This window comes from Homo sapiens, chromosome 16 (assembly GCF_000001405.40).
Source record: "Homo sapiens chromosome 16, GRCh38.p14 Primary Assembly".
Classification (NCBI taxonomy): Eukaryota; Metazoa; Chordata; class Mammalia; order Primates; family Hominidae; genus Homo; species Homo sapiens.
Genome location: NC_000016.10, coordinates 1,178,614 through 1,203,285, shown reverse-complemented (window position 1 = coordinate 1,203,285; position 24,672 = coordinate 1,178,614). Strand labels below are relative to the sequence as shown.

Below are 24,672 nucleotides of genomic sequence, written 5' to 3'. Positions count from 1 at the left end.
AAATGACCATCGAGCCGTCCTGTGATGTTTTCGTGCTGTCTTTGGAGCCCGTGTGCCTCTTATAACACACAGCGGCTGGACTCCCACAATTCAAGGGCTAGGAGCATGCGCCCGACACTCGTCTGCACGCCCTGGGTACCAGCGCATGAGGGCACACAGCATCCCGGCACCCTCGGCACCCTCGCTCGCACCTCTCCCCACCACGGGGGACACACCCCCGCCTGCGTCTCTACATCTGTGTACAGAACCAGGAAGGGCCCCCAGGCCCGTGTGGAACCCTACCATCTGGGGGCCCTGGAGTCTCCCATTCACCTGGTGGACAGAGGCCCAGGCCCCGCATAGGAGAACCCCACGCCAGCCTCTCTTCCTGACTCTCGGTGACTCTGCGACGGTGCCTCCCCCACACTCCCCCACTCAGCGTCCCCACCTAGAAGGGGGGCCAGCCTCAATGGCCACGAAGGACGCTGCACGTCCTCCAGGGAAGCGTCCAGGCTGTGGACACAAGCATACGGTCCCTCTCGGGGCCAGGCAGGGGCAATGGGATGCTGCCCCAGGAGGGTCTGACAAGCCTTGTCAGATTCAAAATCCCACCTCCGCGGCTACCACTCCTGCCATGAGCTGTGGGCCACCGGGAGCTTGCTTTGGCGCTGTCAGGGGCGGGACCTGCCTCTTTCCCCTTCTTATGGGCTCCAGAGGCATAGCTGGTCTGTTTCACAAGTCAAAGCTGGGCTCATCAGAGTGCCCACAATGGGTGTGGGAATGACACACCGGAGACCCTGCCCGCCCTGCCTAGGTCCCACCGCCTCCTCCGTGGGGTGGGGCTGGGTCCTCACCATGCTCCCCGACCACATGCGGGATCTTCTCGTAGGGATCAGGGCTGTTCAAGCTCAACGGGCCGTGCCCCCCGGTGCCTGGCGGTCCACCGGCCCACTTCCCCTTGGGTCCGGGGCTGGTGCTGCCTTTGCCGCTGCCCACCCCTGAGGGCAGGATCGTGGGGTAGTTCATGGTGCCCAGCCCTGTGGCCAGTCTGAGGCTGGCAGCGGCAGTGGCTGCGGCATGTGCCACCCGGGCCCTCTCCTGCGGCCCCTCTATGTGGCAGTCGGCATGGTAGATGCTGTGCACAGACTCTGCGTCGGGGGGTCCGCGGCCTGGGGAAGGTGGCGAGGGGGGCGCGCCAGCTCGGACCAGCCTGGTGTCGCAGGCGCCTGGCTCGGGGCCGGGCCTGCGGGGGCTGCCATGGCTGAAATGGTAGTGGTGGTGGTGGTGGTGATGGTGGTGGTAGACCAGGTGGTGCACCGAGGCTGTGTGCCTGCCTGCCCGGCGCTGGCGGTGCCCGGGACCCTGGCCTTGCACAGCACTGGGGTCCACCTTCTTGCGCCAGCGGCTCTGCCAGCGGGCGTAGAGGCGCAAGCTGCGCCGCTTGACCTTGCGGAATATGTGGCCCACGTACTTCAGCAGCTCTTCGTAGCAGCTGCCAGGCTCGGAGAAGCTGGCCAGCGTGCTGTCGTTGGACAGGTGGCGTGCCCGCTGCTCCCGCATCAGCTGACTCTCCCGCTGCTTCGTCTCCGAGAACTGCGTGGCAATCACCACCAGGCACAGGTTGATCATGAAGAAGGAGCCCACCTGTGACGGGGGCGGGCGGGTAAGTGGCAGTGAGTGAGCGAGTCTCTGATTCGCCACTGAGCCCTACTGTGCGCTGCCTGTTCGAGTGGGGGCCGCGTCACAGGCACAGTGGGCGAGGTGCCCTGCTATGGGCAGGCTGCTGCGGTGTTCAGTGCTGAGCCCCCACGTCTGGAGCAGACGGCATACAGTAGCTGCTTTGTGCCTATCTGGACAAAAGACCTGGAACCCTCTTTCCTGCTTCTCCATGTGGCTCGGCCCCTCCTTTACCTGCAGATCTGGCCTTGAGATGACCCTCTCAACGGTGGCCACTCTCCCCTCCCCAGCACCCCAGGTGCGTTTCCTCCTTAGCATGGACCAGCGTGCAGCAAGTCTCTAATCGTTCGCTTCGCTTGCTCTCTCAGAACAAGCTGGGGACGTCTGTCTGCTTCTGTTACCTACTAGGTCCCCGCAGGGTGGCTCTAGGTATACCTAGGACCCCACAGACGTCTGCGGCCTGATTAACCCAACTCTGCCAGGACCCACTGGGGCCTATGAGAGGACCAGCTAAGGAGCACACCTGGGGCCACACACGCCCGTGGAAAGCGGTGCTGGGAGGCTATGCACTCCCCAGGGTGTTCCTGGCTCTTCAGCCCTGAGCCAGCACCCACAGGCCTGGACCCTGTCTAGGTGATGCCATGGCCTCTTGGGGTCCCCAGCCACACCTCCCCACCCCCGCAAGCTCTGCCTCCCTCCCCTGTGTGCTCCCTTCAGCTGGAAGACAGACAGGAGCCCCTATGACCACCCAGGTACCCCACCCCACCCCCAGCCAGCTAACACCAGGGCCCATCATGGCGAACACTGCCGCCCACACTCACGATGATGAGCAGGATGAAATAGATGAAGTTGTAGAATGAGTGGGCGTCCATGACGTAGTACATGATGTCCACCCAGCCTTCCAGCGTGATCACCTGGGGGGGCAGTGGCTTGACTTGGGCCCGCACGACCCCTCCTCCTCCTCCCCGTGCCCCTGGGGTCTGGGCTGGGGGGGGCGAGTCCTGCACCCGCTCCCCTGCCGTGCCCCAGGGTCCCCGTCCCACCATCTTGCCGCCCACCTGGAAGATGGCAATCCAGGCGTAGCCGATGTTGTCGAAGTTGATGGCACCGTTGTGGGGGTTGGAGTCACCCGAGCGGCACACGTTGTAGTACTGGTTCCAGTTGATGCAGGCGTTGCGTGCAGCGCCCACCCCCTCGGCCTGCGGCTGCGTGTAGGCCTCCCAGCCCAGGGTGCAGGGCATGCGCAGCTCGCGGCGGCCGGGGATGTGCGAGCACTTCTGCATGCCGTTGTCTCGGCGTGAGGAGCAGATGAACGGGTTCTCCTCGCCCTCCTCCGTCTGGTAGTACGGCCGCAGGAAGGTCAGGTTGTTGTTCCTGGGGATGGGCACAGCCAGGGCCAAAAGGTACAATCAGGGTCAGGGACGGTCAGAGTCGGGGGCACGATTGTGATCAGGGACGTGATCAAGGTCAGGGACGTGATCAGGGTCAGGGCCAGTGGACTAATCATGGTTAGGGAGGCACGGTTAGGGTCAGGGGGCATGATAGGACTGAGGGTCAAGACCCGGATCAGGGGACACAGCCAGGACCAGGGTCAAGAACACAGTGGTGCTGCAGAAACCACACTCTCCTCAGCCCAAGTCCACAGAGACAAACACACAAAGAACAGGGATGGACAGAGAAATCAACAAAGAACAGCACAGACAAACAGGGAGGGAGACCCAAGAGCCAGAAACCCAGGCTCAGACCTCAGCAACTCCTGGAAGCGGATGAGGGGCAAAGGGCAAGGGACGAGGGGAGGGAAGCCTGGGGTGAGGGAAAGGAGGCAGCCCTGGGGTGAGGGCTGAGAGGATCCAGGGGTGAGGGCTGAGGGCAGGGAACCCCGGGGTGTGGGCTCAGGGGACCCTGGGGTGAAGGCTGAGGGGAGACTCGGGGGTGAGAATTGAGGGGAGAACCCGGGGTGAGGGTTGAGGGGACCCCGGGGTGAGGGCTGAGGAGAGACTGCAGAGCAAGGGCCGAGGGGAGACCCTGGGGTAAGGTGTGACGGACTCTGGGGTGTGGGGAGGGGATGAAGTGTTGGGACTAACCTGTCTTGGGGGCTGAGAGGTGGCAGCACTGGGGGTGGGACATATGTGCAATGACCGCACGGTGGGTGGAGCCATGATGGGGGTGGGGCATATATGCAGCGACCGCACGGTGGGCGGAGCCATGATGGGGGTGGGGCATATGTGCAGCGACCGCACCGTGGGCGGAGCCATGATGGGGGTGGGGCATATGTGCAGCGACCGCACGGTGGGCGGAGCCATGATGGGGGTGGGGCATATGTGCAGCGACTGCGCGGTGGGCGGAGCCATGGTGGGGGGTGGGGCATATGTGCAGCGACTGCACGGTGGGCGGAGCCATGATGGGGGTGGGGCATATGTGCAGCGACCGCACGGTGGGTGGAGCCATGATGGGGGTGGGGCATATGTGCAGCGACCGCACGGTGGGCGGAGCCATGATGGGGGTGGGGCATATGTGCAGCGACTGCGTGGTGGGCAGAGCCATGGTGGGGGGTGGGGCATATGTGCAGCGACTGCGCGGTGGGCGGAGCCATGGTGGGGGGTGGGGCATATGTGCAGCGACTGCACCGTGGGCGGAGCCATGTGGGGCGGTGACTGCCAGCTGGGCGGAGCCATGATGGGGGGTGGGGGCGGGAGACAGCATGGTGGACGGAGCCATGACGGGGACAGCAGTGGCGGGGCGGGTGACTGCACGGTGGGCAGAGCCACGTGGGGCGGTGGAGCCACATGGTGCGTTATCTGCATGGTGGGCAGGGCCATCTGGGCAGGGGCCTCACGGGGGTGGGGCCTGGGCACCTGACAAAGGCACTGTCCAGGAAGCAGCGGTTCCGCAGGAGGCCAGCCCAGAGCTGGACGCCAACGATGCCGAAAATGAAGAAGACGAAGAAGCACAGCAGAAGGACGTTCCCGAGCATGGGCAGCGTATCCAGCAGCAGAGTGACCAGGATCCGCATGCCTGTGGGCAGCAGGGCCAGGATTGGCACTGCTAAGCCCTGCAGGAGTGTCCTCGGGGCTGCAGCCCCTCCCGGGACCCCCGAGCCCCGTCCACTGTTCACAGTGGGTGTCCACGCCCACTGCACACTGACTCGGGCCACCCCCTGGTGATTTTCCCGCACCCCTAGTGTGATCGGGACTCCCCTCCTACCACCACCGGCCTCCAGGGACACTGACACCCTGGGGTCTGACGTGCATCCAGCGGGGCGCCAGGTCTCCACCTCCAACCATCCCAGGGCAGCAGGTCTGCTGCTTTTGGAGGGCTGGGGTGTGGAGGGGCAGGAGTGGAGGCAGGGGACTGGCCGAGGCAGGGAACTGGCTGCGGCAGGTCTGACCACGTGGCATCTCGGGCTCGGGATGACCAGGCGGAGCCCAGTGGCCCTCGAGGCTTGTCTGGCGACACCCTGAAGTTGCCACCAAGGCAGCAGGAGCCTTGGGAGCCCCAGAACCTCAGGTGGTGGGCTGCCTCCTGGGGGTCTCTGCAGCAGGTCTGGGATCCTGAAAACTTTGTCTGATTCCCAGTGAGAATCCTGCCAGAACAGAGCCCCATCTCAGAGAGAGGCTGCTGGAGGCGGTGGGGAGGACCGGCAGCGGCTTTTCAGGAGGTAGCACTGAAGCCATCGGTCCTGGGTGCTATGGGCTACGTGAACTCCAGATTAATCCAGCAAGTGGGTCAGCCAAGCCCCACGCGCCCCTCGCTCCATCCTGGGCCTGCTCCCCCAAGACGTCCTTTCCCTCAAATTTAATCAAGGGCCAGGCTAAGGCAGCAGGTAAAGCCCTGGGCCAGGAACCTGGGGACGCTGAGTTCTCACCCAGCACCCAGGGGTATCAATGGCAAAACGGGCCCCTCAGGTCACAAGGGTGAGTCAGAGCCAGGAGGAGCACTGAAGTGTCAAAAGAGCCGACCGGAGCAGACAATCAGTGAGCACTGCCCTGGCCAGACCGCAACCGCCTCAAAGATCACAGATGACCCAGAGGTCAGAGTGGACCCCTAGCCAACAGAACAGGATGCAGCCCTGAGCGTGTCCTCATTATGAGAAGCGTATTATCCAGTCTGGAAGAGTTCCCTAGTTCTCTCCTAGAGACAGGAGCAGATCCCCAGGAGGCCAGGCTGCTGGCGACAATTAGGGCCACTCTGGCAATTTAACCTGAAAAGTAAACATCCATGGAAGGAAGGGGCTGTGTGTGCTGGGTTGCTTCACGCTTCAACAGGTGGGGCCAGGCCGGCGTGCAGACTGAACGTACAGTGGGTGCCGGGCAAAGGGCCAAGAGCCACACACGCGTCCCCTCACCGCACGCTCAGCCACCCTTGGGGTCATGGTTACTCCTGTACTGCACTATTCCAGGAGAAACTGAGGTTCAGGCTCAGCTAGTTGCTCAGAGTCACACAGTATTCAAGCCCTATCTGAGCCACACAGTAGAGCCAAGGCAGGCAGGTGGAAGGCAGGCTCAGGGACCAGCGGCACGAGGATGACCCACCTGCCCTTCGGGAAGCCAGAGGCCCCATGGGAAGGAGTGCCTAGCCTTGGGGGTCTGTGACTTTGGGGGGTTGCTGCAGGTCAAGCCCTGAGTGCCAAGGCCACCAGGACCCAGGTCAGGCAGCCAGAAAGGCTGTGTTACACCCGCACGTGCACACACGGGGCCACATCTACACGCAGTATGCACTCGCGCCTGGTACGGCCTCGTGGGGGCCGCGCCGACCCCCAGGAACCAGAGCAGTTGAATGTAGCCCTGAGTGCTTAAAGAACGATCCCACCCCATCCCCTGATGCAGGTGGGTGGCCCGGATTTGACAGGATGTTTCCCAAACAAGCAGGCATATGACTTCCTGGAAGCTCTTCCTCCGCCTCCCCTCACACCCAGCGCACAGCAGACACACAGCAGCTCCTCTCCACCAGGCCCCCTCCTCACACCTGCTGGCCAAATCCTGAAGGATTTCCAGCCTTCCTTCTAGAAAATCAGCTGCTCAGCAGGGGACACGGAGGCCCAGCCCTGGCCAGCCAACTTCCCCTTTCCTTAGGTGGGGATCCTGGCAGGAGAGTAGGGGCCAGAAGCAGTGGCGGGTGGGGAGAGCGAGGTGTCCTCAGGACAGGTGTCAGGCTCTCCCCTCACTTGTGTGGGTGTGAAGGCGGGGCTTCACAGAGCCCCCAGGTGAGCTGAGCCACACCCACAAGAGTGTCTCCACCACGAGCCACACCAGGATGCGCCAGACAGCAAAGCCACCAGGGATCTGCTCGGCCTCCAGCCTTGCCCCAGATGCCATGCAGAGAAGGAACCGGAGGTTCGGAGTGGCCCCTGTCACTCGGCTGTGTGGGAGCCAGGTACCCTGTGAATGCTGACTGCCCACCACACCGCAGCTTGATTCTCCCCTGACATGCAAGGCCCACGGATAGCGGCAGGGGCCACCCCACTGCTGGGGTCTGGGCTGGGGCCGGAGTGCCTGGTAACCTTCATTTCCCAGTCCTGTGCTCCTGGGGGCCCTTTTGAGAGCTCTGCAGGGCTGGCGGACACGCAAGCCTGTTGATCTCAAGCCCAGTCGGGGCCGGTCACTTACTAGGCACGCGGTTGATGGCGCGGAGGGGCCGCAGCACCCGCACGGTCCTGATAGCCGAGAGGCTCACGTTGTGTCCGTCCAACGAGTACTCCATCATGCTGGGGGCGGGGCCGAGGGGGAGCAGCTCAACAAGGAGCCCAGGTGGTCCAGGGTGGGGCTGGGGTGCAAAGTAGGGTGGGCAGGCATAGAACCGGCCAGCCCGGCACCCGGAGGACCTTGTACTGGCCAGGAAGGGCCCCGAGGTAGCAGGAGCACAACGCTTGGTCACATCAGGAGGCCACCTCCCTCACCTGTGCCCAGGAGGGAGGGTCTCCGGAGTCCCAGACAGGGTCCCTGGCTCTACCTGGATCCCTCTAGAACACACCTCCCATTTTTCTTTACAGGTGGGACACAGGGATCCCTGTGGGGTGGGCGGGGCCCCTTCGCCAGCGCTGTGGCCTCTCCCAGGCGGGGCCTACCCCGCCACGACGATGAAGAAATCCAGCCTGTTCCACGTGTCACCCAGGTAACACTTCTGCCCGAACAGCCCCAAGGCCACCATCTTGATGACCATCTCCACCGCAAAAAAGGCGAAAATGAAGGCGTCAAAGGCCTGCGGGAGGAGGCATCAGGAGGGCCCGTGGAACAGCTCAGCTCAGCCCACAACCCCCAACCCCAGCCCCGCAAGAGCCCGGCCCCCAGTCTTGCCACACCCCTCGCCCCGCCCCTGCCCCGCCCTGAGCCCCAGGAACTGAGCCCTGCCTCGCCTTGAACCTCGCCTCTCGCCCTGCCCCACCCCCAGCCCCACCTCGCGCCCCGCCGTGAACCTCGCCCTGATCCCCGACCCTGACCCACTCCACGCCCCACCTTGAACCTTGCCCCGCCCCCGCCCCACTCCGCCTTGAACCATAAACCTCGTAGCGACCCACGCTCCTTCCCCACCCCGACCCACGCCCCTCACCTCCAGGATGTTGCAGCGCTCGGAGCCGCACTCAACGTCCTCACAGGGCCGGAACATGCCCAGGGTCACGCAGTTGAGCATGATTACCAGCATGCTCACGTGCTCGAACCATGTGTCGCCGCGGGTTAAGGAGCACACCGGCGCGGCCCGGGACCCGCTCCCATGGGGCCCTCCAAATGCCCACCCGGTCAGCCGGAGCCCCGCCACGGGTGTGCGCGCGTGGGGGTGTCCAGGATGGGGTGGGGGACTCGGGACCGACGGCCGCCCCTCCTGAAAGCAGCCACCAGGTGGCGCCTGGGGCCTGCGCCTGGCCGGGCTCTGCTCCGTGAGGGTCCCAGGCCCGGCCCCCTGGCCCTCGGCGTTGGCTCATCAGGAAAGCGGGGTGCAGGAGCCCTCGGTGGGCTGGCCGCATCGGTAGTGAGGCCCCAGTGAGGGCCACTCAGACTCCCAGGGCCTAGCTGCCCACATGGGGCCCAGGTTGCATAGGGCTCCCGCGCTGGGGGGCTGTAGGCAGGGCACCCTGTGCAACTGGGAGGGCCCCAGGGCAGGGGGAATGTCGGGGCACCGCCATGCAACCCACCGGACAGGACTCCCCGTCCCACCCTCCAGGCCTGGACGGTGGCACAACTCGGGGCAGACTTTCCAGGGCCCCTGTCCCAGGGCTGCGCGGCCCCACCCTGACCAGGGAACCAGAGGAAGGAGGGAGAGGCAATCCGTCAGCTGACTGTGGACCCAGGAGGGACCTTCCTTAAGGTAGAAGCCGGCATTTGGAAAGCACCAACTTGTCAGCGAACAGCCTTGGGAAGTCAGGCACCAGCTCTGACAGTCCCTGCCGTCACCAACACGTGGGAACCGAGGAGGAGACAGAGCTGGGCATCCTCTCACAGCTGATTCAGGGGCAGCCCGGTGGCCGCCCCCACCCCTGGCTCTGGACTTGGGCCTGTGCTTGACTCTCGGGGGCCGCCCTTCCCAGCACCCACCTGGCGCAGACCACAGGCCTCAGCGCCCACGGCTCCCCCTCACCCCTGGCAGGCCTGCTTGGGACCCGGATGATGGTGGCAGCAGCGCCCCCTGCCCAACACGGGCCACGCTCACTACAGCGGAGGTCCTGGGTGCTGCGTGCAGCACTGGGGTCAGGGTCTGAGTGTCTCAAACTCTCAGGGATCACAGGAAGGGCAGCTGCCACGGTAGGAGGGGAACAGGCTTGGTGACGAGGGCCTTCCCTGCCCCCACCTGTCACTCCAGCCTGGAGCCCCTCCCCCAGGGACCCCAGCAGCTCATCCTGGAACCCTCCCTCCCACCAAGCCAGGGCCCAGCCTCCTAGCAGGTCAGCATTTGATGCCAGTGCCACGGCTCCAGGCCACCAATGTAATTACATATTCCCACCAAGAGTGCGGTAATTACACTTAATGGGTTCAGCGGTAACAGGCGCCTCTGCTGTAACACTGCTGCAAGAAAGCCGAAATCAGCCTCCCGCCAAGGCAGCTGGCATGCTGGCACAGCCACGCGCTGTCCCATAGGTGGGCAAGGCCACAGCACGCACTGCCGCCTACCGATGACGCACCCACTGCGACCCCAGCGGCCAGAGTGTGTGAGCGCCTTCACGGCAAGCCTCAGAGCACAGTCCTTGCTGGACGAGGTGGGGGTGGGGTTTGCGTGCCTTGGTCAAGGTGGTGGGGGCAGGAGCCGAGGCCCTGCTGTGGAAGCCGTGCCAGGCCCCTTGGCCTCTCCCAGCCTCCTGACCCGGCACTAGTGCAAGGGAGCGATGGTGGATGGCGGCTCCGCCCCCAGCCTCGGGCACCTTTGTCCCCTAACTGCCGCAAATAGCACCTTTCTGCGGGGGTGGCTGGGGACTGTCTTTGTGCATCTCTGAGGGCCATCATTTCCCGAGGGGAGGGGTTTTCTTGGGTAAACGGAACAGGCTGGCGGGGAGGAGCTCAAAGACACCCGGCCCAAACAGGACACAGCAGGCAGGTGTGGGGAACGGTGCTCCCTGACCTGAGCCCCCACGGCACTCTACCCCAGCCTGGCTGAGCCAGGGGTCTTGTAGGTGGCACTGCCTCTCCCTGGGCACAGGGCATCCCAGGCCTCAGTTTACCCATCTACCCAATGGGGGGTGGTGGGACTGCTTGTCCTGTGGGTGCCTCGGACCGCCTTTCTGTCTCCTCTCTCCACACTCTCCTTCAAGTTGGGCCGGCTCCCAACCAGCACACACACATTCCACTACCAAAGCAGGCAATTTCCAGCCACCCCTGGACTCCAGGACTGAGGGCTGAGACCCGCCTCCAGATGTCTCCAGCCATTGCCCGATTTCTCCCAGGCCTGCCCCATGTTTGCTCTCAGATCACCCCGGAGACCCCCCAGAAATGTCCAGGCTGGAGCAGAGGGTGCCCTAGGCTAGGGGGCTACCTGGACACAAGGCCTTTCACACCCTCCCTGTACCCCAGCTGGCCCCCAGCCACTTGCCTGACCCTGGCAGTTCCTGCCACCCTAGCCAGCTCAGGACTTTGAGCTAAAGCTACGGCATGGCCTTCCTGGCACTGAGGGGAATGCTGACTTCTGGACCCGGCCCAGACCCTGAGGCGGAGGGCCCAATGGGGACAGAAGGGAAGGGGCCAGCACCCCTGACCAGCCATCTCTAAGACTGTCCAGCCAGCAGAGTGGAGTGGATGGTGTCAGAGCCCAGGGCCCATCAGTGCCAGTCACCATGAAAGCTGCCCACGGCAGAGGGGCTGGCAGGGGTGGGTGGCACCCAGTGCCTAGCAACTCCTCAAAGACAGCTGACTAGGGGTCCCCAGGCCAGGGTCCTACCTGGACACCTTTGCCCCCTCTGCCATGCCACTGAGACCCACCCCAAGCCTTTGTGACTGGCAGCGAGGGAAGCCAGGAGGGGGCCTGGGTGCCCCTCCCCGACCTCTCGGACCGTCTGGTTTAGTGGGGGATGGGGTGCTGTCTTTTCCAAGCAGGGGTGTGGCTCCAGTGAGCCCCTCCCATCCAGGTGCATCCCCCTCCGCCAAAATCACACACACAGCAGAAGACCATAGAGGGGCAAGGTTGGGCCTGCAGGCACGCCAGCTGCAGACGGCCTCCCGAGCTAAGCCTGGCGACAATGGAACCCCAAATCTCCCGGACCTGCGGTGCTGCACAGGTGACGGCTCGCAGAGACCCCGAGTGTGCCTGAGGTCACACAGCCAGGCCAGCCTGCTGGGTCACCAAAACCCTGAGTGTGCCTGAGGCCACACAACCAGGCCAGCCTGCTGGGTCACCGAAACCCCGAGTGTGCCTGAGGCCACACAGCCAGGCCAGCCTGCTGGGTCAGAGACCCCGAGTGTGCCTGAGGCCACACAGCCAGGCCAGCCTACTGGGTCAGAGACCCCGAGTGTGCCTGAGGCCACACAGCCAGGCCAGCCTGCTGGGTCACCAAAACCCTGAGTGTGCCTGAGGCCACACAACCAGGCCAGCCTGCTGGGTCACCGAAACCCCGAGTGTGCCTGAGGCCACACAGCCAGGCCAGCCTGCTGGGTCAGAGACCCCGAGTGTGCCTGAGGCCACACAGCCAGGCCAGCCTACTGGGTCAGAGACCCCAAGTGTGCCTGAGGCCACACAGCCAGGCCAGCCTGCTGGGTCACCAAAACCCTGAGTGTGCCTGAGGCCACACAGCCAGGCCAGCCTGCTGGGTCACCGAAACCCCGAGTGTGCCTGAGGCCACACAGCCAGGCCAGCCTGCTGGGTCAGAGACCCCGAGTGTGCCGGAGGCCACACAGCCAGGCCAGCCTGCTGAGTAAGAGAGACCCCGAGTGTGCCTGAGGCCACACAGCCAGGCCAGCCTGCTGGGTCAGAGACCCCGAGTGTGCCTGAGGCCACACAGCCAGGCCAGCCTGCTGAGTAAGAGAGACCCCGAGTGTGCCTGAGGCCACACAGCCAGGCCAGCCTGCTGAGTCAGAGAGACCCCGAGTGTGCCTGAGGCCACACAGCCAGGCCAGCCTGCTGAGTCAGAGAGACCCCGAGTGTGCCTGAGGCCACACAGCCAGGCCAGCCTGCTGGGTCAGAGACCCCGAGTGTGCCTGAGGCCACACAGCCAGGGCAGCCTGCTGGGTCACCGAAACCCCGAGTGTGCCTGAGGCCACACAACCAGGCCAGCATGCTGGGTCAGCGAAACCCCGAGTGTGCCTGAGGCCACACAGCCAGGCCAGCCTGCTGGGTCAGAGAGACCCCGAGTGTGCCTGAGGCCACACAGCCAGGCCAGCCTGACGGGTCCCAGCTCTTGGGTCTGCAGGGCCCCTACCCATCGTAGATCCTCTGCCTCCCCTTCCCCCAGCACCCACCCAAAATTAGCCCCACAATCCCAGAGAGCTCCTCCAATGGCAAGGACCCCACCCCTGTGCCTGTGGGGCAGCTCTGGAGGGGACGGTGGTATAGCAGGGTCTGGGGGGCCCCAAGGAGGCCTCTCACGACAGAGGACGTGACAGGCAGGCGTATTGCGCGCCTCCCAACCGGGTCACACCCCAGCCACCAGCCCTCCCTGCCCTGGAGAGGGACTGCCAGATGTACCAGGTCCCAGTGCCCCCCTGGGGCTCTGCCTAGAGAGGGGAGCAGTCAGCCGAGGTCCCACATCCCGCACAGGCCAGCAGGGGCTCGGGCAGCTCTGGGCTGAGCAGGCTGGCCCTCATGTGTCACACTTCTGTGGGCAGCTGAGGACAGGCAGTGTCTGCCGGCTGTGTCGCACGGAGCCTGGTGACTTCTGGAGGCTTAATCATACAGATGGATTTTCTGGGTTTTAATTAAAAATTCCTTTAGATTTCAAATCAACTTCTATAAATTAGAATCAATTTCCACTGCGGGTCGGAGAAGCAGGCCAACGTAGCCGGGAACAGCCCTGGGAGGGGGCCTGCTGGCTGCAGGGCGGCAGAACGGTCAGGGAACCCAGCCAGGGAAGGGCCGGGCAGTGGCGCAGTGAGGTGGTCTTGGCTACGGGGTCTCCCTCAGGCAGGGAGCCTCCACCAGACCCTGAGGCCCAACCAGCAGCAATGCACCCACTCACCCTCCCTCCTTCATCTCCCTGGACCAAGCCCCAGGACCTCAGTGATTCTCCTCTTTTCTGACAGACCAAGGTTGTGGGGACCACATTGTCCTTCTCCAGCCCCTGGAGTCTGGCCTGGATGACATGTTCCCCAGGCAGCCCCCACTGGACTGGGCTCACGAGCCAGGGGCTCGTAACGATGAAAACCCCCCAGAGAGAGGCCTGAACAGGGGAACAGGGCTGAAGACCCCCTCGGTGGTGGGGCCCTGTCTGTTGAAATACTCCTCAGGCACAGTACCCATCCTGTCCCTCAGCCCCACACTCTATAATCAGTGCTCTCAGGCTGGGCCCGGTGGTTCACACCCATAATCCCAGCACTTTGGGAGGCTGAGGCAGGAGGATCATTTGGAACCCAGGAGTCTGAGACCAGCCTGGGCAACACAGTGAGACCCCATTGCTACAAAATATTTAACAAATATTTAACAAAAAAATTAAATTTTGGGGTGCGGTGGCAGCTACTCGGGGAGGCTGAAGTGGGAGGATCGCTTGACCCCAGGAGGTGGAAGCTACAGTGAGCCACGATCGTGCCACTGCACTCCAGGCTGGGTGACGGAGCAAGACCCCATATCAAAAAAAAAAAAAAAAAAAAAAAAAAAAAAAAAAAAAGGACACTCTTCAGGGCACCTGCCAGGTCCAGCACAGCCTGGCCACCTCCCCTTCCTCACATCTCCAAGCCTGTGCACTTCTGAGGGGCTGGGCAGGTGCTAAGCCCCCTTCCTACTCCTGAAGCCCTGCCAGGGGCTGGGCCTCCCCAGCTGGCACCCATGAAGAAAACCAGTCCCGCCCAGGACGCTTCAGGGACACCAGCTCCTCAGTCTCCGGGAGGAGAACAGCTTTTCTCACCCCTACAGGCTTCCTGTTGCACACCGCCACTTCCCTCGGGACCCTGGAACAAAGGCAGCCCCCCAGCCTCCTTTCTGCGGCAGTAAGCGCTCCCCTTCCCACATGGGCACCGCCTGTGGCCATGGTGGCTCACACCAAGGTCCACAGAAGCCCCTCAGCTCTCAGGACCTGGGGGGGCCCTCCAAGGGGCCCAGCTCCAGTGCACCGCAGATGCCAGCCCCTGGCGGGCCAGGAGGTGTGGACGCAGGGCGGGCAGTGCTGCAGCGGCTGCTGTCCATGGTGCTGAATCAGCAGCCTCGCCTGGGCCTGTCCTGGATGTACCAGGGCTGGGAGGGCCGGGGTTAGGTGTGGGGGGACACATCCAGGAGGGGGCGAGGAAGCGGCCTCCTGGCCGGAAACACAGAGCTTCAGTGGAGCTGCTCCACTGACCCCCGTTTTCTCATCTGGGGGTAGTCGAGGAGGAAAAAGACTCCCAAACTGCTCTTCCCAGCTTGAAAGCGCATAGCTCTGAAGGCGCCGTTTTCTCCCGGCCCCTGGGCGCGGGCGTGGGCAGCCCCAGAGCCACTGACTGTTGTGTGGGGGGCAGCAAGGCCTGCATTCCCGCGGCTGGGTGAGGGGGAGTGTCTGCGAGTGGCGGGAACCCTGGCAGCTGCTATCTCTGCGCCGAAGATGCTGGAGACCTGGGATTCTTGGGGCCAGGAGCCAGTCTCAGGGCGGCTCAGCCAGTGTCGGGGCTGCCAGACCCCCAAACAGTGCCGACTGAGCCCTGAGGTGCTGTGGGACCCCTCTCCCCAGAGCCAGCGGTCTCCAGGGTCCTGGGTAGGGACAGGGGTTCCTCAGAAGCCCGTGTGCTGTGGGACCAGCGTGGCCCAAAGGGTGGTCCTGGACAACCCCAACCCGAAACATCAGCTAACATCCCAGGTAACATCAGCTCCCAGGACCGCCCAGACCCGCTGGCTCACGTATCCTGGGGCCAGGGCCTCCCCGACCCTGCCCCGTGACTAATCCTCAGGCCAGGGCCATGGGGCAAGAGCCTGACCCCAATTCTACCTCCACCTGTGCCTCCCCCTTTCTAAGCCTCAGCTTCCCCATCTGTACAAAAGGGCTATTTCATCTTTCTGGCGCTGACAGGTTTTATGCAGACCTTCCTGCAAAACAAGCCCCTCCATCTACTCTCCTGACTGACACGGCTCGGCCTGGCTCCTGCTGGCCCTGGAGGACACGTTCTCACCACACCAAGACCTCCACGTTTGCCGAAGGAAGGTCAGGACAGATGTTTCTACAGAGGGACGGAGGCGGGGCTGTGTGCCCCTCCTCAAGAGATAGTTAAGGCATCAAAGCCACAGGCCAGCCTCAGCTCCTCAGACCACCAGGGAGGGGACTGTAGCAGCGCTAGCCCAGCGAAGGGATGGACGTCTCCAGGTGCGGCTGCTGCCTGGCTCCTCCTCTATGGTCAGAGTGGCCCCCAAGCAGGGCTGTGGCCTCCAGGGATCCCAGCAGGGCTCCCTGCTCGGCTGCATCCTGACATCAGTGCCGGGGTGGCAGAGCTCTGCAGCTGGGAGGATCGGGAGGCTGGGCCGTTCCTGCCCCACCCGCTGTCCCCTAGAGCAATCTGCTCAGCCAGCTGAGCCCCATTAGGCCAAATCTGCAACAGCTGGGCACAAGCGGCCTGAGCCAGGGGCAGGGGTGTGGGCGGGAAAGGCACCCACAGCAGGAAGGAGAAGCCCAGAGCAAGGTGGGCCACAGCCCCCCACTCAGGACCCCATGCCTTGCAGGGCACAGACTGCAGCTGAGGTCACAGGCAACCAGGACTCTTAGCCACGTGCTCCCCTCTCTGTACCCACCCCTGGCTGGGCAAACCCCTCCCTGCCCTGGGTAGAGGGTGCCAAGGCTGAGGCCGCTCCCTCCCTGTCCGCTCTGCCCACGGCCCCACGCGGCGCTGGCCGCCTCCTCCCCTCCCGGCCCCTCATTCTCAGGAACGCTCAACCTTACTTTTCCAATTTGCTCAAGAAGACGACCTATGTGTATTCACCGGGGAAGCCCATTCCCACAGGCGCTATCAGCCCGCAGTGCGGAGGGGACGGTCGCGGGCTCTGAGGGACTCCATCGCCTCTGCCGCAGAGGAAGCAACAGCTTTGGTCCCACATCAAGAGACCCAGGAGGGGCCGGGCCAGCCGCAGACCCTGGGAGTCAGTGGGTGGTACAGGAGATCCCCGGGAACCAGCCCTGTGTCCGTGTCCACCCCCACTCAGAACCGCGGCAGCTCCAAAGGACCCTCGAGGCCACGGGAGTGGGACGGACCGCCCTGAAGTCTGCCGGTCATGGTGGTGGTCACGGCCCTGAGAACCAGGGCGCACTGCTTGTATACAGAAGAGCTAGAAGGGCAGAATATCTCCACTGCCGTGGCACATTCACCGGCCAGGAAGCATTACGTGGCCACCCGTTGAGGAGGCGGTGGTGCCACGGGCATCGGGACCGAGCCAGGTCCAGGGCACACGGGGCAGGAGGAGCGAGTCACGGAGGACACGTGACCACATTCACGACAGAAGCCACAGTGCAGGCCATCTCGAGGGGCATGTGTGTGGGCACGTGTGCAGAGGTACAGAGACGTTCCCAGGGAATCGCCGGAGGATGAGAACGCCGTGGAGAGGGACAAGACGAGGGCACTCAGGACGTGGGCAGAGTCCACAGTGACCCTTTGACGTTCACCCCACGCCGCGGCATCGTCCGGCTTTCTGCACGGCGAATCCAGGCCCTGCGTGTGCAATTACGAAAGCGAAACGTCCAGGAATCTGGGCCTGTGCGGTCACGGCAGGCTGGACCCCTGCCTTCAGGGCTCCCTGGGCCCAGCTTCTGAACAGCCCCACTGGGACACCTCGAGGGAGCCGCGCATTCTTATTCAAAACACCACTAAGGAAACAGGCTCTCCCCAAGCAGCCCTGGGAGGACCAGCACGGTACACCCTGGCCCTGCACACACCCCGCCTCCGGCCCCTACGCACGCCGACCGTCTAGTCACCCGCCCCGTACACACCCCGCCTCCGGCCCCTACGCACGCCGTCTACTCACCTGCCCCGTACACACCCCGCCTCCGGCCCCTACGCCGTCTACTCACCCGCCCCGTACACACCCCGCCTCCGGCCCCTACGCACGCCGTCTACTCACCTGCCCCGTACACACCCCGCCTCCGGCCCCTACGCACGCCGTCTACTCACCCGCCCCGTACACACCCCGCCTCCGGCCCCTACGCCGTCTACTCACCCGCCCCGTACACACCCCGCCTCCGGCCCCTACGCCGTCTACTCACCCGCCCCGTACACAGCCCCGCCTCCGGCCCCTACGCACGCCGACCGTCTACTCACCCGCCCCATACACACCCCGCCTCCGGCCCCTACGCACGCCGACCGTCTACTCACCTGCCCACGTACACACCCCGCCTCCGGCCCCTACGCACGCCGACCGTCTACTCACCCGCCCCGTACACACCCCGCCTCCGGCCCCTATGCATGCCGACCGTCTACTCGCCCGCCCCCCACGTACCCCGCCTCCGGCCCCTACGCACGCTGACCGTCTACTCACCCGCCATGGACCCCCGTGCCCCACTAGGCTTTCTGAGCATCTCCAGGGTTCCCCAGAAAAGCAGACTCGGCGGGGGGGGGGACTCTGCAGATGGCAGCGTCCATGTGGGAGTCTGGCTGCCGCTGGCAGGACCCACAGACACCGTCCAGGAGTCCAGCTGCCACCCGGGCACGTCTAAGCTCCGGATAACCGGTGGGTGAGGCTATGAACGCCAATCCTGCCTACACCAGGGACAAAGGAAACGGGCACTCACGACAGACGGGCCCACACGTGTCCACAGCGGCACTGACCCCGATGGCCTGTGATGGAAACAGCCCTGGTGTTCACCAACAGACCCGTGAACAAACGGAACGTGGTCTGGTCACACGCTGGAATATTACTCAGCCATGAAAAGGAAGAAAGCTCCACACGCCACAACACAGGTGAACCCGGGAACATGATGCTGGGAAGAACTGGGCACAGAAGGACCACATGTCACACGGAAAGTCCCGCACAGGCAAACCCAGAGACAAAGCGGGGTAGAGACCACCAGGGCTGGGCAGCGAGGGCTGATGGGGATGCGGTTTCCTTCTGGAGTGAGGGAAACATTCCAGAACTAGGCAGAGGTGATGGTTCAACAACACGAAGGTCGCTAACCCGTGCGCTTTAAAATCCGCTGGTCGTCACATAAACAAGTAAAAAAAAAATGGCTAATCCCATGGTACGTGAACCTCACTTCAGTCATCACCACAGCCTGCGTTCCCAGCTTTGCCTTTAAATGGCAGCTTCCCTTCGCTGGAGCCCCGCACCTGTCTGCAGTCGCCACTGAAGGCGCCCTTTGGACCAGGAATTGAGACCCGGCACATGGGCAGGCATAGGTTGGTGGGGGTGTCTCCTCCTCCTGCCACGTGGCCTCCACTCTCGCTGAGCAGAAGGCCCTCACATGCCCCAGACCCACCCGGCCACGTGACAACTCCTGGCACCCTCCAGCCCCTTGAGACCTGCCTTCCACCAGGGGGCCTGGATGCCTACGAGAGGGCAGGGATGCCTGGAGGCTGATGCGGCATCCGTGCCTCCTCCCAGGCTCACAGAGGATGAGGGTGAGGGCCGGGAAACGAGCAGCCCAGGCCGGCAGGTGATGAGCCCTCCCCACGGATGCCTCTCAAAGACAGGACAGCTGCTGTGTGCAGGTGCCCAGGCCAAGCCGCCTGGAGTCCTCTGGGGCTGCTGGCCCCATTCACCCCTGAGCCTCGGTCCCACGCTTGCCGGCCTCCACAGTCCGGCCTCTGGCCTCTGCCTCGGGCAGTAAGGCCCAAAGCTTTCAAGGACTCAGTGCTTGCTGCAGGGGAAGCTTTGGCCAGGGTCTGCTCCCTGGTCTCAGGGCTCGGGGAGGGGCCCCATGCATGCGGCAGGCTGGGCCTGACCATTCCTGAAGCACCGGAAGCCCCCTGTGGGCAGGAGTGATGCCCTGGGGTCTAGAGCAGTCCCGCCTACACCCTGTGCAATGGGCTGGTGTCCCATCTCCCCTACCAGCTCCACCTAGGCCTGATGGGCCAGGCACAGCCCGGCTGGCCTTGACTCTTCTGTCCCTGGCATCCGATGAAGCACCGGGGCAGCCACAGCTGCCGAGGCAGACGCACCTTCCCCAGGCGGCATGGACACGGCTCCAGGGCACCTGTCGTTAATTAACCGATCCAGGAGGGAATTAATTCAGTCTCCCTCTGCAGTGGCGAAATTCTGGAGCCAGATGTTTGCAGACTTTGGAGTCTCCCAGCAGGTGGGACGGGACAGACCCCACTGGGGGAGCAACACGCCAGGTCACGTGCTCACCCGTGTATACGCATGTGCTCTTGCACGCTCCCCCCAGGGCCGCCCCCCAGCCTCACAGGGTAGATGACAGAAAGTACATCAAACCTGCAGGACGGGACGGTGCCCGGGGAGCTCCAGAGCCTGCCCTGAGTGCGGCGCCTCCCCCGGACCCCCGACCCCAATGCCACGACAGGCACGTGTCCTGTTCTCCAGCGGGGCCTCTTAGCGGGAGGGAACTGGGTGGGAAGGGGGAGGGCAAGGCAGCCACACGATCCAGGATCAGGGTTGCCGGGGATGCGCTGACTGAAGGAGGTTTCTCTTCCTTCCCCGGAGGCCGCTGCCATGGAGACAAGGGAGGAGGAAGCCCGGTCAGGGCTGGGGGGAGGGGCCAGGAGGGATTCCCGGCTCCACGCTGAGGGCGGCCCCCACGCCCGTCTCCTTCCTCGGGAGAAGCCACCGCAGGGTTTTAACTCAGGAAGGGGTGAGGTCCTAAGAACCCCTCTGTGCTGGGGGAAAACTGGGGGAACGCGGCGCCATCAGACGCAATAGAACCCGTCAGGGGTCCCAGAGGCCAGATCCCGAGGGCAGCCCCAGGATTCCCACAGCCGCACGGGGGTGGAGGGTACCGGGTTCCAGGGCTCCATGCCTGACACAGAACTTCCTGGAAACCGCCACCTGGGGCCCCACCGTGTCCCACCCCAGTCCCTGCTGCTGGGGGTGTCGGGTCACAGAGGGTGGGGGCGGGGGTGGTGGGTGGGGCCCAGACCTCCTTCACAGGTACCTGTACCAGCCCTGGAAACCCAGTTGTCCAGAGATGGGACAGGTGGGCTTGCCCTCCTGAGAACCTGCAGTGCCCATGGACCCTGTGGCCGACTCCTGACCTGGGGAGCTCTCAGGTTGGGCCCAGGACTCAGGACTCAGCTCCAGAGAGGTCACCTGCACCCCATCCCAGGCAGGGAACAGAGGGTCTGGGCAACGTCAGAGGAGGGCCAGGGTGGGGGTCCCCGCCACAGTGACTGACAGCCTCGTCGGGGGGCTGCGAGCTCTCCTGGCCTCTGTCCTGGTCCTCAACCCTGGCCTCTCCCAGCCAACCCCCAGTCTGCTCTGAGTCTCAATGTGCAGCCTGCCCAGAGCTTTCACCCCAGCCAGGCCCCCGATGTGGGAGCCCCTCTCCCCAGGGGCCTGGCCAGGGGAACGTGGCCGGAGCCAGCCGCCTGGACTTGCGTGACTCACACGGGCAGTTGGGGGTGGGGAGCCCGGGCAGCAGCCAAACATGGAGTGTTTGTCTCCAGCCGGCGCCGCGGGTCACAGGAGGGCACGGGGGCTGGGCTGCCCGTGGGAGAGCACCGCCCCCAGCGCAGGGGTGCGGGGAGCCCACACCCACCACAGGCCACCACCTGGGGGATTGAAATCACTGATGCATGAGTGGACGGCTCACTCCCGGCTGCCGGAACATTCCATCTCAACAGAGCTCCTCCCTGAGCAATGGCCTCGGGAGACTCTGGCCCCACAGAGAGCGGCCCTGGCCTCCGCCTCTATGTCCGCCAGGCTGCACCCAGGTGGGCTGAGGCCCGCCTCCTCCACCCCGCAGAGCCTCCCACCTGCCACCCACCGGAGGGGCCAAAACAATCACATCACCTGCGCTGTCTCAGGCACGGACCCTGCTCCTGCCCCTGCCACAGCCCGGGGAAACACCAGGCTCACCTGGGCGGCCACTTCTCACCCTGGGGAGCGTTGTGTCCATCTGTGTGGGGAGACAGGGAGGGCCGGAAGCACACAGCAGCCAGGGACAGGCAGCAGAGTGAGCCTGTGTGCATGCGTGTGCGAGGGGGCATGCGTGTGCGAGGGGGCGTGTGTGCAAAGGGGACATGCATGTGTGAGGGGCGCATGTGTGTAAGGGCAGTGTGGGGACCTGAGGCGCGTGTCCGGGTGTGGGTGTGTGATGTGTGTGTAGCTGTGTGCATGGGCCGGGCTCACCCCACACACAAGTGGAGAACTCACACACAGCCCTCTTCAGGCCTGAGATGAGGGCGGGTCCCCCACCTCCAGGAATGAAAGGAGAGGTTGGCTCGCAGCACCACCACGGAGCTGGAGCACACGCGGACAGCTCCCTCTAACTGCGCACAATTTTAAAAGCCATGCTAATTAGAAAGAGACCTAATATACCTATTTATCTCTAATAAAGAGCTTGATTTGGGAACTTTTCAAGGCATAATTGAGTGGAAAAGTGCCTGATCCCAGCCCTCCTCTCCGTGCCTGCGGGAAGCTTGAGGCCCTGCCAGCCACTTGGTGGCAGCGTGCAGCCACACCGGCAAGGACCTCGGGGGCACGACCACCCAGGATGTTCTGCCGGAACTGGAGCAGACCCCCAGACTCTCCTGGCCGACGCGGGCGTCAAAGCGCTGGCTCAGCTCCCACCGTTGCCGGGGGCTCGGCAGCTGTCCCCGGTCAGGGCCACCTGGTCAGGCTGGCTTTGTCCTGGCAGTGGAGTGGGAGGTGGAGGGGCCGGCCATGCCGGGTGAGAGCTCCTCTCCTCTGGCCTCACCCTTGCCCATCTTGGTCCCCATATGAGGGTGCTGCGGGCCCCCAGGCTTGGAAGGGAAAGGCGTGGGCAGCAGAAACCCAGCCAGGAGGGGACCTTGGGGAAGACGGCCGCCTGCCCCTGGGACGGGCCTGTGGGGCCTGCTCCGAGCTGGAATTCTCCAGGCCAGAAATAACTGCCTGAGCGCCACTGCACAGCTGCCGTGGCCCAAATTAGAGACCACCCCAGGGGACCAGGCGCTCCCTCCATGGGAACGTGGCCTGGAGCTCCACCCTTGGGTCTGGCCGGGAAGCTGGCGGAAGCAGTCCCGCCAAGGCGCTTTCCTGCGGGAAGACGGGGTGAGCCCCTGCCAACGCGGCCCAGCAGGTCTGTCCTCAGCACGCTGGCGGCCAGGTCGGGTGCTGGCCCGGGGAGTCCAGGGCGGGGTGGCTGTGGACCAGGGCTGACCTCACTCTGGTCCTCTTCACCTAAGGGGCCTCCCTGTGGGAGCCACAGGCCCCTATTCGGCGGCATCCCAGCCCCCGCTGCACACCCTGCACTCTCCCCAGTCTGCACCTCATCCCTCCCTGCCCCGCCCTGCCCAGGCCCCTCCCTACCTGCCCCGGGAAAGCCAAGGCCAGGTGGGCCACTCCCCACCCGACACACTATGGAGAGCAGCCCCTCCTCCCTGGCCCCCCCACGGCCTGGCTGTGACTGCAGCCCCTGCTCAGGACCCAGAGACTGTGGCTGTGCCTCGGAGGGGGTATGGGGACGCCAGGGACACCAGGACACAGGCCCACCCTCCACGGCACCTCCAGTCCCACCACTGGGGATTTCCCTTCAGACCTCGGGCCTCCACAGACCTGGGGTTCAGACACCTGGGGTGCCCCCTCCTCACCCAGCCTGCCCTGCTCTGCCCCCAGCTATGGGACCGTCCTCCCCAGCCCACAGCAGCCCGAGTCCCTCTCGCCTCACATTATGCTCTGTGGGCGACGCCTGGTCTCAATCTGTGTGAAAACCCAGCTCCGGCCTGCAACGCCCCGTGTTCTGCAATGCGGACGCACACCACCTGCCTGTGCACCCAGGAGCCGGCTGACCCGGTGTGCAGGGACAGGGACCCAGCCAGGGCACCCAACGGGCTGGCCGTCCATCCACACGACGCCCCTCAGCCCTGTGCCTGCAGAGCCCGGCCCCCTCAGTATCACCCGGCAACCAGATGTATATTAAAAAACAAGGCCGGGCCGGGCATGGTGGCTCACGCCTGTTATCCCAGCACTTTTGGAGGCCGAGGCAGGTGGATCATGAGGTCAGGAGTTCAACACCAGCCTGGCCAAGATGGTGAAACCCCGTCTCTACTAAAAATACAAAACAATTAGCTGGGCGTGGTGGCACATGCCTGTAATCCCAGCTACGTGGGAGGCTGAGGCAGGAGAATCGCTTGAACACGTGAGGCAGAGGTTGCAGTGAGCGGAGATCACGCCACTGCACTCCAACCTGGGCGACAGAGCAAGACTCCATCTCAAAAAAAAAAAAAAAAAAAAAAGAGGCCGGGCGTGGTGGCTCACACCTGTCATCCCAACACTTTGGGAGGCTGAGGCGGGTGGATCACTTGAGGTCAGGAGTTCAAGACCAGCCTGGCCAACATGATAAAATCCCGTCTCTACTAACAATACAAAAATTAGCCAGGCATGGTGGCGGGCGCCTGTAATCCCAGCTATTCAGGAGGCTGAGGCAGGAGAATCGCTTGAACCCGGGAGGCGGAGATTGGGGTGAGCCGAGATCACACCAGCAACAACAACGACACACACACACATCAATAAATAAATGAGGAGGACGGAACAGCCACTCAGCAGCGGCTCGGTCGGCTCTCCCACCTCCCCAACCTCGCGGGGGCAGGAGAGTCCATGGGGGGGCCCCCAATCCCCGATGCCTGGTCAGCCAGGGTTTCCGTCCACCACAGCCTGGTGACTGAGGTCAGGGACCCCCAACTCACCCTACCCAGGAGCCCCTGAGGCCAAACCCCACCCACAGGGCCGCCACACACCCCTTCCACCAGTCCCGGGAGGCGCGTCAGATAAAAGCACAGCTCTCACTCCTGGGGAGACGACGGCCAGGCCCAGCCAGGGGTGGCTCTGCTGTGGTTTTGCTTCCCAGGCAGGTCTGAGTAACAGTGTGCAGGGAGGGCTGAACCCTACACCCGCCACAGCCTGGTGTCCACGGGTCACCCATTCACCACCCAACAGGGTCTCTGTGACCTGACAGAGGTCACAGAGCCTCAGTTTATCCCGAGGAAAATGGTGGGGCTGGGAGGGGCACGGGGCCAGCCTGCTGGGGAGATGCCACCATCTGGTCCTCCGGGGCTGGCAAGGGCGCGGGGCCACCCTGCTGGGGAGATGCCACCGTTCGGTCCTTCCTCTGCCCTGGCAGCCACACCTGCCTGCCCCGGCCACTCCGCCACATCTCTTCACCCCAACCCCGACTTCTGGAGCTTGGAGGAGACAGGGGCAGGGGCATCTGGGCCCAACCTGCCCAGGAGCTCCTGGCCGGGGGTGAGCCAGGTTTGGCCAGGGGTCAGGGAGGGACCCGAGGGACAGTGTGGCCCCTTTGGGGCTGGATGCTGGTCTGCTGGATGGCGGCGGCTGAAGCAACAGACGCTCACT

At 64.2% G+C, this 24,672-nt stretch overlaps 1 protein-coding gene and 1 long non-coding RNA gene across 16 annotated transcripts in view, besides 5 other annotated features; one reads left to right on the top strand and one right to left on the bottom strand.

Annotated features, from left to right (window-relative positions):
* CACNA1H (calcium voltage-gated channel subunit alpha1 H) overlaps positions 1 to 24,672 on the bottom strand; it is a 68,663-nt gene that overhangs the window by 18,483 nt on the left and 25,508 nt on the right. For 13 of the 15 annotated variants that reach the window (XR_002957850.2, XM_047434836.1, XM_006720963.4 and 10 more), the window contains exons 3-9: positions 8,203 to 8,314; positions 7,721 to 7,854; positions 7,263 to 7,360; positions 4,512 to 4,671; positions 2,715 to 3,030; positions 2,478 to 2,570; positions 834 to 1,623 (exon numbers count right to left, since the gene is read on the bottom strand). Coding sequence is in view for 14 of the 15 variants with exons in the window: in XM_047434836.1 (XP_047290792.1) it covers positions 834 to 1,623; positions 2,478 to 2,570; positions 2,715 to 3,030; positions 4,512 to 4,671; positions 7,263 to 7,360; positions 7,721 to 7,854; positions 8,203 to 8,314 (1,703 nt within the window). In the remaining variant the exon portion in view is untranslated. The other 2 variants (XM_017023819.2, XM_011522724.3) reach the window with 2 other exon arrangements.
* LOC124903623 (uncharacterized) lies at positions 1,575 to 2,480 on the top strand. The gene is made up of 3 exons (XR_007064938.1): positions 1,575 to 1,642; positions 1,897 to 1,954; positions 2,065 to 2,480. It is a non-coding gene; the product is annotated as an uncharacterized LOC124903623 (long non-coding RNA).
* Positions 4,150 to 4,707: an enhancer, noted in NCBI's record as "H3K4me1 hESC enhancer chr16:1248579-1249136 (GRCh37/hg19 assembly coordinates)". NCBI's record gives its function as "activates a minimal SCP1, AML or CMV promoter by ChIP-STARR-seq in naive H9 embryonic stem cells {active_cell/tissue: H9 hESC(naive)}" and the evidence as "EXISTENCE:reporter gene assay evidence [ECO:0000049][PMID:30033119]".
* Positions 4,708 to 5,267: an enhancer, noted in NCBI's record as "H3K4me1 hESC enhancer chr16:1248019-1248578 (GRCh37/hg19 assembly coordinates)". NCBI's record gives its function as "activates a minimal SCP1, AML or CMV promoter by ChIP-STARR-seq in naive H9 embryonic stem cells {active_cell/tissue: H9 hESC(naive)}" and the evidence as "EXISTENCE:reporter gene assay evidence [ECO:0000049][PMID:30033119]".
* Positions 16,902 to 18,740: a meiotic recombination region, noted in NCBI's record as "meiotic double-strand break mapped by DNA meiotic recombinase 1 chromatin immunoprecipitation followed by single-stranded DNA enrichment and sequencing in the germ cells of some male individuals with the PRDM9 A/A, PRDM9 A/B and PRDM9 A/C genotypes". NCBI's record gives the evidence for it as "EXISTENCE:chromatin immunoprecipitation-seq evidence [ECO:0000229][PMID:25395542]".
* Positions 16,924 to 17,827: a repeat instability region, noted in NCBI's record as "repeat instability region; instability of the MS205 VNTR region has been observed". NCBI's record gives the evidence for it as "EXISTENCE:polymerase chain reaction evidence [ECO:0000082][PMID:8923012]".
* Positions 17,099 to 17,708: a minisatellite, noted in NCBI's record as "MS205 VNTR, 49-54 nucleotide repeat".